The sequence below is a fragment of the Homo sapiens genome, chromosome 1, assembly GCF_000001405.40.
Source record: "Homo sapiens chromosome 1, GRCh38.p14 Primary Assembly".
Taxonomy (NCBI): Eukaryota; Metazoa; Chordata; class Mammalia; order Primates; family Hominidae; genus Homo; species Homo sapiens.
In genome coordinates this window covers 187,345,874-187,360,561 of record NC_000001.11, presented here as the reverse complement: position 1 = coordinate 187,360,561, position 14,688 = coordinate 187,345,874, and the positions used below count along the sequence as shown (strand labels likewise).

The 14,688-nt window shown below is 35.8% G+C and overlaps 1 long non-coding RNA gene across 1 annotated transcript in view; it reads right to left on the bottom strand.

The window, feature by feature from the left end:
- Positions 1 to 317: 317 nt before the first annotated feature.
- The window catches only part of LINC01036 (long intergenic non-protein coding RNA 1036), a 267,403-nt gene continuing 253,032 nt past the window's right edge, over positions 318 to 14,688 (bottom strand). The window contains exon 4 of the long non-coding RNA NR_126347.1: positions 318 to 847. This is a non-coding gene — a long non-coding RNA (long intergenic non-protein coding RNA 1036). The remainder of the gene's footprint in view (positions 848 to 14,688) is intronic.

Here is a 14,688-nt window from a genome sequence, read left to right as displayed (position 1 = left end):
ATCCACATAATGTGAGATGTATTTGCAGCATATGTTATTGAAAAGGGTTAATAATTAGAAGGTATCAAGAACATTTACCAAAAAAAAAAAAAACACAAAACAAATAGGAAAATTTTAAATGTACAAAATTTGATCAAGCACTCTAAAAGAAAGATATTCATATGGCCAATAAACATATCAGAAGGTGTTCAATCACATAAATCATCAGAAAAAAAGTAGTAATAACAATGGAATACTGCAGCAAATCAACAAATATGACAAAATTAAAAGGCTAAAACAGCAGTTATCACCAAAGACCTAGAAAAAAATAGACCTCTTATATTCCTGGTGAGAAGGTAATTTGGTACTATTACTTTGAGAAACTTTTAGGGTCTGTCAAAGTTGAAAACACCCATAACCCATTTATCTAGTAAATCCCCTCCTATTCAAAACAAAACAAAGGTACCATTTGTATTCATACAAAAATGAATATAATAGCACTATATATAACATTACTATTCTGGAAGCCGCACAAAGCCCACCAGCTATAGGTAAAATACATATATTGTAGAATGATCACACAACGGAATGCCAAACAGAAGTTAAAATAAATGAACTATTTTTCCATTCATTAACATGAATAAATAAAATAGGCATAGTATTGACTGAAAGAAACCAGATACGAAAGGGTACATTCTGTACAATCACATTTATACAAATTCCAAACACTGACAAAACTAAGGTTATTGGTCATATTTGGAGAGATGAGAAGGGATGGTAGAGACAAGAGGGTGACCTGGAATGTGCTGCTGATTTTATCTTCTTGACCTGCATGGTGGTTATTTGAATTCATGATTTGTACACTGTCCTGTTTATTTTAAAACATGAAAGGATAAAATCAAATGAGGGAATTTTATGGCATGTATTTAAATTAGACAAACAAATTTTTCTTAAGAACTGAACTTTGTTATAAAAATCTTGGACAGATTGGAGTCTATGGCGTCATCACTTCTATCTAAATATCCAAGAAAAGTATATTCCTTTTTATACAAAGAAAAGGAAGAGTCAAGAACAATAGTATTTTAAATATCAATGTTCCAGACAAAACAGGCTATCTAAACCTGGCAATATTATATTGAATCAGCCATAGGAGATGCACAATGAGCATTTTGGCACTCCTTTTAAGCAATATTATTAGGATAGAGTTTATGTTCAATAAGTATTATTGAGAGCTACTGCTTCCTTTTTAAATGGTCTATACCAAAATATTTCTTCCCCATTTTAATACTCTACTTACATCTTTTTGCAAGTTGCATTAAAGTTTTGAGAAAAGTAAATTAGTTTCTAGAAGAACTGAAAACATGGACACTTGCCTTTTGGTTCCAATTTATTGTGAAATCCATCATACAGAAAATAATGTACATTTCTAATAACTAAACTTTAATGAAACATAGAAAATTGCAAATAAGTAAATTGAAAGAAATACAGTTTTAAAAATGTCACTCTAATGATGAGCATGAAATATTCATTCCAGCCCAAGTTATGAGAGTACTTTCTGGCATAGTTATATTTAGGTTAAAACAAATTCACTGTGAAATCATTTATGTAATCAATCTAAGTCTCCTTACCCTTATTACAAGACAGTATGCCACCTCTCATCAACAACTAATGCTATATTTAATCAAACAGAGAAAAGTCCTAAGATAGCTGAGGTATTAAAATTCTAGTGGACTAACACCCATTAAACAAAATATTTTTTAAAAGTTGAACTGAAGAGAATATAAAGCACACTTTATTAAAGGTAAAACAAATAAGACCTAAAGTAGAATATTAAGTTAGCCCAGAAAGGATTTTTGCAGTTTCTCTTTATTTTTATTTCTGGTTTTAAGGTTTAGAAATATGCTCATAGAGTTAACTTTTACATTTTATGCTTAGTCCTTTATTTCTTGGGTAAACAGTTCAGAACAGGGAGGCACCTGCTCCATTTTACTTGTAAAATTCAACGGATAATAAAGAAAAATCTCATAGTGCATACAAAACCTGCCTCCTCCAAAAAATGAAGGGGAAGGGGAAAAGGGAGCTAAAAAAAACAAAAACAAAACAAAAAAAACACCTACTAGTGCTTCTCCCTTGGATGTTTGAGTATACTCTCCCTGCTCAAAAGATAGAATTTCAGCTACAGAAGTGCATGGCGAATGAGAAAGGGAAGCCACATCAAAGTGCCTGGATTATACCAACACATTCTTGGATACCCATTGGTCTGTAAAAACAAAGCAGCCAGAACAAGTGGAATGATTCCTAAGCCTTCTCCACAAATCTACACTCAACATCTCAGGACTGAGATAATCTAAAGGAAAACAATTAAGGGAGAACAGAGAACCAGGGGTGCCTGCAAGACACCATCTCACTCCCAAGTCCTCCACAGTAGCACACACTGGGCCTAGTTTTTTTTTCCTTCATCTTTAGAAATGAAATACGTTCTACCGAAGAAAAAAATTATTAAACCTTTGAAGAATTCAGACTCTTAAAGGAAAAATATAATAAAGACAATCTATACCACTGAAGGCAAAATTAATCAAATAAACAGATAACATTTTTTTTAAGTTCAGGTTCATTGAAGTATAAATACACATACAGTAAAATTCTTACAGATACATATCAACTGTATCTAATATGGTTTGCCTTTGTGTCGCCACACAAATCTCATCTTGAATTCTAATCCCCAAGTACCCAGGGAAGAACCTGATGGGAGATGATTGGATCATGGGGGGTGGTTTCCCCCATGCTGTTCTCATGATAGTAAATGAGTTCTCATAAGATCTGATGGTTTTATAAGTGTTTGACAGTCCCTCCTTAACACACACACACTCTCTCCTGCTGCCTTGTGAAGAAGGTGTCTGCTTCCCCTTCTTCCATGATTGTAAGTTTCTTGAGGCTTCCGCAGCCTTGTGGAACTGTGAGCCAATTCAACTTCCTTTGTTTATAAATTACTCAATCTTGTGTAGTATCTTAGCAGAGTGAGAATGGACTAATACAGTATCAAAATCAAATGAAGAATAATTCCAACACCACGAAAAATTGCCTCAAAACACTTTGTCATCAGTCTCCTATCCCCATAAGTCCTTGAAAATTGCTAACCTGTTTCCATTCCTTTACTTTTGCTTTTTTCAAAATGTCTTATAAATAAACATCATATAATATGTAACCATTTGAATCTGACTTCTTTCATTTAGCATAATGCATTTGGAATCCATGCATATGTTTGCTTGTGTCAGAAATAGTTCGTTCTTTTGCATTTCTGAATAGCATTCCATTTTAAAGGATGTACTATGGTTTATTTACCTATTTATCTATTGAAAAATCGTTTGGGTTATTTCCAGATTTTGGTAATTATGAACAAAGATAGAACAAATATTGTATAGATTCTTCTTATGTGAACATGTTTTAAATTCTCTTGGGTAAATATCTAGAAGTAGGATTGCTGCATCTCAAGATAAATGACAATTTATTTTATTATAAAAAACTGGGAACTGTATTCTAAAGGGGCTGTGCTGTTTTGTAATTCTGCTATATTAGCCTCATCATCTAATTGTTTATTGCTCATACACAGAAATACAATCAATTTTTGAGCAATCATTGCAATTTATTTATCAATTGCTATCTGCCAATTATACCATATCCCATCAGCACTTCATACCATCACTTTTTAAAAGTGTAGTTATATTAAAAGGTGTTAGTAGTATTTTCTTTGTAAAATTTGTATTTATCTAGTGAATAGTGATGGTTAATATCTTTTCATCTATTTATTGGCCAAATGTCTATCTCCTTAGGTGAATGGGCCATCTTTTGCCCATTTTTTCTTACTGTTTTAAAAATTATTATTGCGGTTGAGTTTTAAGAAACTTTAAAATCTCAGCAGACTTGTATCAGATATATATTTAACAATATTTTTCTCAATCTGTAGCTTATGGTTTTATTTTTTAATATGGTCATTTGAGCATCAGCTGTTGATTTTGATATATTCCTATTGATCATTTTTTCTTTTATGAGTTGTGTTTTTGTGTACTACTTAAGAAAACATTTTCTAACCTAGAGTACCAAAGTTTTTCTTCTATGACATAGCCTAGAAATGTTACAGCTTTGGGTTTATTATTTAGGTTTAGGATCCATTTAAATTTTAAAATGCTGCAAGGTATGATTTGAAGTTCCTTTTTAAATATGGATGTCTAGTTGTTTCAGCACTCTGTTGAAAAGGTTATCATTTAGCATTGAATTGCCTTTGAGTCTTTGTCAAAAATCAATGAACTATATATATGCAAGTTCTGTTTTGCACTTTGTTCCATTGACCTATGTATCTATTCTTTCACCAATATTACACTTTTTAATAACTTTTATTTCAAGTTCGGGGGTACATGTGCAGATTTGTTACATAGGTAAACTTATGTCATGGGGTTTGTTGTATAAATTATTTCATCACCCAGGTATTGTGCCTAGTACCCATTAGTTATTTTTTCCTAATTCTCTTCCTCCTCCCATCCTTCACCTTTCAGTAGGCCCTGTTGTGTGTTGCTCCCTGCCATGGGCTCATGTATTCTATTTAGCTCCTACTTATAAGTAAGAATATGCAGTATTTGGTTTTCTGTTCCTGTGTTAGTTTGCTAAGGATAATGACCTCCAGCTCTGTCCATGTCTCTGCAAAGGACATGTTCTTGTTCTTTTTTATGGTTGCATAGTATTCCAAGGTATATATGGACCACATATTCTTTATCCAGTCTATTACTGATGGACATTTAGGTTGATTCCATGTCTTTGCTATTGTGAATATGCTGTCTTAATTACTGTAGGAAAGTCTTGACATCAGATAGTGTGCATACTTCAACTTTTTCACAATTGTTGTGGCCAATGAAAATTCCGTGATTTTCCTTATAAATTTTAGAATCAACATGATGGTTCATATGAAAAAAAACTGTTGAGATTTTCAGTGAATTATGATAAATTCATAGAACAATTTGGGGACAAGTAGTGTCTGAACAACACCGACTCTTGCCATCCAGGATCATGGTATATTTAGGTTGTCTTTGATTTCTCCTATCAGTGTTGTATAGTTTTCAGCAGAGAAAACTTAAAGTGGCTAAAAATCTCATGTTTTTGGTGTTATTTTAAATTAAACTTTTTATATTAGCCTCATCGTCTAATTGTTTATTGTTCATACACAGAAATACAATCAATTTTTGAATTTTTTGACTTTCTTAAGCCAACTTCTTAGTTTTATTAGATTTTTGATAGACTCTTCAGGATTTTCTGCAAAAAAATTATTTTACTTTTAAGTATTGATAGTTTTATTTTCCCTTTCTAAACTGTATGACTTTAATTTATTCCAATACAAGTTGAGTAGAAGTGGTGACAGCAATCAACCGAAAAATCTTCCCAGTCTTAGAAGAAAGCATAAAAGCTTTCACAGTTAATTATGGGGATATCCTTAGATTTTTCTTTTATGTGTGTTATCAGTGTCAGGGCATCTTTTAAAACTCATAGGCTTTTTACTATAATAGTTTTAGATTTACAAAAATGTGAGCCAATAGAAAATAGTACACAAAGTTGTCATACACCATTCCCCTATACAGTTTCCCCTGTTATTAATGTCTTGTATTAGTGTGGTACATTTGCTACAAATAATGGACCAATATCAATAGATTGTGATTATTAAAATTTTTGCATTAAGTTTCATTCTTTGTGTTATATTGTTTTATGGATTTTGACAAATGCATAAATCATGTATCAATTCATTACCATATCCTGTAGAATAGTTTCACTATTCTAAATATTCTTGTGTGTCACAATTCATCCCTCTTTTCTCCTCATAAACTCCTAGTAACCTTTTTACTGTGTCTATAGTTTTGTCTTTTCCAAAATGTTATGTGTTTGTAACAACACAGTACATAGACTTTTCAGACTAGTTTCTTTCACTTAATAATATGCGCTTAAGGTTTCTCTATGCCTTTTTGCATCTCGATAGTTTACTACTACTTCTCTCTTTTTTTTTTCTTTTTTCTTTTTTCTTTTTTTTCTTTTTTGAGACGGAGTCTCGCTCTGTCTCCCAGGCTGGAGTGCAGTGGTGCGATCTCGGCTCCCTGCAAGCTCCGCCTCCCAGGTTCGCGCCATTCTCCTGCCTCAGCCTCCCGAGTAGCTGGGACTATAGCCGCCCGCCATCACGCCCGGCTAATTTTTGGTATTTTTAATAGAAACGGGGTTTTACCATGTTAGCCAGAATGGTCTCGATCTCCTGACCTCGTGATCTGCCCGCCTCGGCCTCCCAAAGTGCTGGGATTACAGGCGTAAACCACTGCGCCCGGACGATAGTTTACTACTCTTTATAGCTGAATAACGTTTGATTATATGGCTGTACCATCATTTGTTCATCTATTCACCTATTGAAGGACATCTTTGTTACTTCCAGGTTTTGGCAATCATGAATAAAGCTACAATAAACATTCATGGAACCTAAGTTTTAAACTCAATTGGGTAAATAGGAGTGTGATTACTGGATCCTATGGTAAAAGTATGTTTAACTTTGTAAGAAACTGTCAAACTGTCTTCCAAAGTGTCTGTACCATTTGCATTTTTACCGGCAATAAATGAAATTTCCTAATGCTCCATATTCTTGCCAGCAAATGGTATTTTCAGGGTTTTTGGATTTTAGTCATTCTAGAAGGTTTGTATTGGTATGTCTTGTTTTAATTTGCAAGTCCTTAATGATGTACAATGCTGATTATCTTTTCTCATGCTTTTTGCCTTATGTATATCTTTTTGGTGAAATGTCTATTCACATATTTTGTCTAAATTTTTTTGCAAATATTTCCTCCAAGTCTGTGGCTTGCCTTTTAATTAACAATGTCTTTTGCAGAGAAATTTTTATTTTTAATAATGTCCAACTAATATATTGTTTTGTTGTTTTATCTAGAAATTCATCATCAAACTTAATATCAGCTAGATTATACCTATGGTTTTTCCTACAAGTTTTACAGTTTTGCATTTTGCATTTAGGTCTATGATTCATTTTGAGTTAATTTTTATAAAAGGTGTAAGGTCTATGTTTAGATTCATTTTTTGCAGATGTAGATGTCCAATTGGTCCAGCATCATTTGTTGAAAAATGACCATTTCGTTGCCTCTGCACCTTTGTCAGAGACAGGAAAATCGTTGAGCCCAGGAGTTCAAGACGAGCCTGGGCAAAAAGCAAGACTGCATCTCAATAATAAATAGATAAATAAAAAGAAAGATCAGTCAACTATATTTGTGTCCAAACTTTTCTAAGAAAGAATCTAATTTTATACACATGTTTTCTTTTTTATATGATTTTCAAATGTTTAAAAATGTGTTTCTTAATGTTTCTCATGCAATATATAAGTTGTACAAACAAGTATATTTTGCATATACTATCCAGTTTAGGAAATAAAGTATTTAAAGTCCTTTATGTATACTCCCTTTTTATAAAATCTGAGCTTATCAGTTTATTTATTTATTATTTTATTACATGAGTATATATCTAAGCAAATTATTTTACATATTTTAAAATGTTATATCTATAGTCGCATTTACACCTTTTGCAACTTGGGTTTTGCTCAATATTATGTAGCTGTAGCATGTTATTAAGATTCATCTATTGTGAAGCTGTAGTTAATTTTTTCACTGGGTTTTATTTTAAAAAAATATTGAGTTGCAAAAATATATATTCTGGACACAAAATAATTTTTGATATATATTATAGAATATTTTATACCAGTTTTCATATTGCTTTTGCTTTTTACTATCATTTTAAATACTAAAATTGTACTGTGGGATAATTTTAGAATTACTTAGAAGCTTCAAAGATTGTACAGAGTTCCCATATACCCCTCATCCAGTTTCTGCTATTGTGAACATCTTACATACATATGGTACACTTACCACAATTTATAAACCAACATTGTTATACTACTATAAATTAAAATCTGCGCTTTGTTTTTATTTCACCAATTTTCCCCCTAATATCCTTTCTCTGTTTTAGAATTAAATCCAGAATACCACATTGCATTGAGCATGTTATATTTTAATGAAGATACATTTTCTATTTTTTTTAATCAACTTTTATTTTAAGTTCTGGGGTACATGTGCAGGACGTGCAGGTTTGTTACATAGGTAAACATGTGCCATGTTGGCCGCATGAATGCCTTCTTTTGAGAAGTATCTGTTCATGTTCTTTGCCCAGTGGGATTGTTTGTTTTATTCCTGTAAATTTGTTTAAGTTCATTGTAGACTCAGGATATCACACCTTGTCAGATGGATAGATTGCAAATATTTTCTCCCATTCTGTAGGTTGTCTGTTCACTCTGGCGATAGCGTCTTTTGCAGTGCAGAAACTCTTTGGTTTTATTTGATACCATTTGTCAATTTTTGCTTTTGTTGCTATTGCTTTTATGCATTTAATTTTCTATTTTTTAATATTTATGTTGGAGAATTTTTCCTATAATTTGTATTTTTTGCAATGTAAAAGTTCTTCCCCACCTAAAATCATAACATAGCTTCCTACATTTTCCTGGAAGTTTTAAAGTTTTGTTTTTCACATTTATGGTTAATTAATCTTTATTTTGTTTTTGTAAGATGTAAGGAGGGTTTACTTTTTTTTTCCCATGTGGAAAACCAGTTGTACTAAGACCACTGGTTGAATAATTATTCTTTCCACACTATCTTAAATGTCTTCTTCGTCATATCCAGTTTCCATGTATATTTTTTTGGTGAATTTGCTGACATCTGGGTGATGTTATATGGCCATTTTCACACATGTCCCTTTTTTCTTCTTTTTAATTAGCAAATTTCATCCTTTGGTCCCCAAGATAATTTTTTTAAATTATTTTCTCAATTTCTACAAGAAGTTTCTATTGGAATTATATTTGAAAATGCTTTACATGAGTAAGTTATTTGGAGAGAACCGGCATTTTTGTGAAATAGCCAAATGTATTATAACAATTTTAATAAGTCAGATAATTCAATTGTGCAAAGTGTGGGTATTCCAGATTGAGTTCCTTGGTAAAATGACTCCAAGAAGAGTAGCATGCAGGAAGTTTATTTGACAATGCTCTCAGGATCAACATTTTTTGGGGGGCGAAATGAAGAAGCAGAAAGAAAAAAAGCAGGATTGTCTAGAGGGAAGTTAGACTGCAATCCAGTCACGGTAAGGTGGCAAACCCAGTGGGAGAGCTGATGGTAGGACTAGCTTTCAGAGTTGCCAAAGTTGGGCAAAAGAGGCCAGGCATCTATAGCTATGGGTAGACCAGCCACTGGAAAACAACTGGACATCCAGGTGTCTTAGCGAGTTTGGGCTAATATAACAAGGTATCATAGACTGTGTGGCTTATAAACAATGAAAATGTATTTCTCAAAGTTCTAGAAGCTAGAAGTCTAGGATCAGAGTGCCAACATGGTCTAGTTCTGGTAAGGGTCCTTTCCCAGGTTGCAGACTGCAGTCTTCTCATCGTATCCTGGCAGAAGGAGGCTAATACCACTCTCTCTAGGATAATGAGGACTCCACCTTCATGATCTAATTACCTCCCCAAGGCCTAATTACCTCATAACATCATATTGGGGTTTAGAATTTCAACATACGAGTTTTAGGAGGACACAAACATTCAGTCTATTGCATCAGGTTAGTTTTTTGTTTGTTTTGGCTGGTTTGTTTTTTAATCCAAGTTCAGTCTGGTCCTTGTCAAGGTTTGAAACAACCTAGCTATTGTCTATTCTAGTAAAAATCATTTGGTCCTGTAGCTTCAGGAGAGTTGCAGCTCGGAGTTGGGCTAGAAAATACTTAGTAGAGTGGCAACCACCTCTGACTTCCTGAGTTCTTAGCTGCACACTGTTTTCCCCATTCGCTTTTATTATTATTTTTATTTTTATCATAAAGTTTATTTAGATTATGAGTTCATATTTGGCTGATTCTAAACAGTGGAGATCACGAATGACCTGAGAGAAAGTATGGTCTCCCAGAAAATGATTCCTACAAGCTTTTCCTTTGGGCTCTGGTCCACTATGCACCATTAATTTGACTCCAGGCTTTTCTTAATGTTTCTGTTTGAAATTCCCCAAATTGGTTGCAAATTATATTGGGAAGGATACCTATTTCCAATTTCTACACATAGCTGACATAAAAGCTGACAGAATTCTCCTTATTTGACATACAATTCTCCTCATTGCTACTTTTGCTACTATAGGATGGTTCTTCTAACTCTTTCACTGATACTGTATTTCTTTGAGTCTTGACTCTGTGTGTGTGTGTGTGTGTGTGTGTGTGTGTGTGTGTGTGTGATCTCATTTCCAACTGTCTGCCTCATTTAGCCCCAAGGCTTTGTCTTCTATTCTCCACATGGATTTTAAAGCTTGGTATTTGTACAACACCCTAGGCCATTTACAGGTTCAGTGCTTACTGTATATATTAAGTTTCTTTTTTCTTTTTCTTTTTTTTTGTCGGGGGGGCACCCACAGATTTCCTTTCTATATTTTGAATATAAATAGATGTATATTTAAAAATATTATGATTATAATTTATCCAGAAATTTTAAATTTTTTAAGGTGAATGTTTGTCACATATTCATAAGCAATTTTGCCCATATTGTTCTTTGGAATATTTTTTTATTTTCTGTTTTTTCCTCTGTGTCTCGTCTGTCTACAATCAATACTTTTTTATAGTTATAGAAAATCTCCCTCACCGTTATCAAAGGGTAGAAACAAGAGCAAATAGAAGTTTAATCAATGGATAGAGGAGGAGCCAAGATGGCCGAATAGGAACAGCTCTGGTCTACAGCTCCCAGCGTGAGCGACGCAGAAGACGGGTGATTTCTGCATTTCCATCTGAGGTACCGGGTTCATCTCACTAGGGAGTGCCAGACAGTGGGCGCAGGCCAGTGTGTGTGCGCACCATGCGCGAGCCGAAGCAGGGCGAGGCATTGCCTCACCTGGGAAGCGCAAGGGGTCAGGGAGTTCCCTTTCCGAGTCAAAGAAAGGGGTGACGGACGCACCTGGAAAATCGGGTCACTCCCACCCGAATATTGCGCTTTTCAGACCGGCTTAAGAAACGGCGCACCACCAGACTATATCCCACACCTGGCTCAGAGGGTCCTACGCCCACCGAATCTCGCTGATTGCTAGCACAGCAGTCTGAGATCAAACTGCAAGGCGGCAACGAGGCTGGGGGAGGGGCGCCCGCCATTGCCCAGGCTTGCTTAGGTAAACAAAGCAGCCGGGAACCTGGAACTGGGTGGAGCCCACCACAGCTCAAGGAGGCCTGCCTGCCTCTGTAGGCTCCACCTCTGGGGGCAGGGCACAGACAAACAAAAAGACAGCAGTAACCTCTGCAGACTTAAGTGTCCCTGTCTGACAGCTTTGAAGAGAGCAGTGGTTCTCCCAGCACGCAGCTGGAGATCTGAGAACGGGCAGACTGCCTCCTCAAGTGGGTCCCTGACCCCTGACCCCTGAGCAGCCTAACTGGGAGGCACCCCCCAGCAGGGGCACACTGACACCTCACACAGCCGGGTATTCCAACAGACGTGCAGCTGAGGGTCCTGTCTGTTAGAAGGAAAACTAACAACCAGAAAGGACATCTACACCGAAAACCCATCTGTACATCACCATCATCAAAGACCAAAGTAGATAAAACCACAAAGATGGGGAAAAAACAGAACAGAAAAACTGGAAACTCTAAAACGCAGAGCGCCTCTCCTCCTCCAAAGGAACGCAGTTCCTCACCAGCAACAGAACAAAGCTGGATGGAGAATGATTTTGACGAGCTGAGAGAAGAAGGCTTCAGACGATCAAATTACTCTGAGCTACGGGAGGACATTCAAACCAAAGGCAAAGAAGTTGAAAACTTTGAAAAAAATTTAGAAGAATGTATAACTAGAATAACCAATACAGAGAAGTGCTTAAAGGAGCTGATGGAGCTGAAAACCAAGGCTCGAGAACTACATGAAGAATGCAGAAGCCTCAGGAGCCAATGCGATCAACTGGAAGAAAGGGTATCAGCAATGGAAGATGAAATGAATGAAATGAAGCGAGAAGGGAAGTTTAGAAAAAAAAGAATAAAAAGAAATGAGCAAAGCCTCCAAGAAATATGGGACTATGTGAAAAGACCAAATCTACGTCTGATTGGTGTACCTGAAAGTGATGTGGAGAATGGAACCAAGTTGGAAAACACTCTGCAGGATATTATCCAGGAGAACTTCCCCAATCTAGCAAGGCAGGCCAACGTTCAGATTCAGGAAATACAGAGAACGCCACAAAGATACTCCTCGAGAAGAGCAACTCCAAGACACATAATTGTCAGATTCACCAAAGTTGAAATGAAGGAAAAAATGTTAAGGGCAGCCAGAGAGAAAGGTCGGGTTACCCTCAAAGGAAAGCCCATCAGACTAACAGCGGATCTCTCGGCAGAAACCCTACAAGCCAGAAGAGAGTGGAGGCCAATATTCAACATTCTTAAAGAAAAGAATTTTCAACCCAGAATTTCATATCCAGCCAAACTAAGCTTCATAAGTGAAGGAGAAATAAAATACTTTATAGACAAGCAAATGCTGAGAGATTTTGTCACCACCAGGCCTGCCCTAAAAGAGCTCCTGAAGGAAGCGCTAAACATGGAAAGGAACAACCGGTACCAGCCGCTGCAAAATCATGCCAAAATGTAAAGACCATCGAGACTAGGAAGAAACTGCATCAACTAATGAGCAAAATCACCAGCTAACATCATAATGACAGGATCAAATTCACACATAACAATATTAACTTTAAATATAAATGGACTAAATTCTGCAATTAAAAGACACAGACTGGCAAGGTGGATAAAGAGTCAAGACCCATCAGTGTGCTGTATTCAGGAAACCCATCTCACGTGCAGAGACACACATAGGCTCAAAATAAAAGGATGGAGGAAGATCTACCAAGCCAATGGAAAACAAAAAAAGGCAGGGGTTGCAATTCTAGTCTCTGATAAAACAGACTTTAAACCAACAAAGATCAAAAGAGACAAAGAAGGCCATTACATAATGGTAAAGGGATCAATTCAACAAGAGGAGCTAACTATCCTAAATATTTATGCACCCAATACAGGAGCACCCAGATTCATAAAGCAAGTCCTCAGTGACCTACAAAGAGACTTAGACTCCTACACATTAATAATGGGAGACTTTAACACCCCACTGTCAACATTAGACAGATCAACGAGACAGAAAGTCAACAAGGATACCCAGGAATTGAACTCAGCTCTGCACCAAGCAGACCTAATAGACATCTACAGAACTCTCCACCCCAAATCAACAGAATATACATTTTTTTCAGCACCACACCACACCTATTCCAAAATTGACCACATAGTTGGAAGTAAAGCTCTCCTCAGCAAATGTAAAAGAACAGAAATTATAACAAACTATCTCTCAGACCACAGTGCAATCAAACTAGAACTCAGGATTAAGAATCTCACTCAAAGCCACTCAACTACATGGAAACTGAACAACCTGCTCCTGAATGACTACTGGGTACATAACGAAATGAAGGCAGAAATAAAGATGTTCTTTGAAACCAACGAGAACAAAGACACCACATACCAGAATCTCTGGGACGCATTCAAAGCAGTGTGTAGAGGGAAATTTATAGCACTAAATGCCTACAAGAGAAAGCAGGAAAGATCCAAAATTGACACCCTAACATCACAATTAAAAGAACTAGAAAAGCAAGAGCAAACACATTCAAAAGCTAGCAGAAGGCAAGAAATAACTAAAATCAGAGCAGAACTGAAGGAAATAGAGACACAAAAAACCCTTCAAAAAATCAATGAATCCAGGAGCTGGTTTTTTGAAAGGATCAACAAAATTGATAGACCGCTAGCAAGACTAATAAAGAAAAAAAGAGAGAAGAATCAAATAGACACAATAAAAAATGATAAAGGGGATATCACCACCGATCCCACAGAAATACAAACTACCATCAGAGAATACTACAAACACCTCTACGCAAATAAACTAGAAAATCTAGAAGAAATGGATACATTCCTCGACACATACACTCTCCCAAGACTAAACCAGGAAGAAGTTGAATCTCTGAATAGACCAATAACAGGCTCTGAAATTGTGGCAATAATCAATAGTTTACCAACCAAAAAGAGTCCAGGACCAGATGGATTCACAGCCGAATTCTACCAGAGGTACAAGGAGGAACTGGTACCATTCCTTCTGAAACTATTCCAATCAATAGAAAAAGAGGGAATCCTCCCTAACTCATTTTATGAGGCCAGCATCATTCTGATACCAAAGCTGGGCAGAGACACAACCAAAAAAGAGAATTTTAGACCAATATCCTTGATGAACATTGATGCAAAAATCCTCAATAAAATACTGGCAAACCGAATCCAGCAGCACATCAAAAAGCTTATCCACCATGATCAAGTGGGCTTCATCCCTGGGATGCAAGGCTGGTTCAATATACGCAAATCAATAAATGTAATCCAGCATATAAACAGAGCCAAAGACAAAAACTACATGATTATCTCAATAGATGCAGAAAAAGCCTTTGACAAAATTCAACAACCCTTCATGCTAAAAACTCTCAATAAATTAGGTATTGATGGGACGTATTTCAAAATAATAAGAGCTATCTATGACAAACCCACAGCCAATATCATACTGAATGGGCA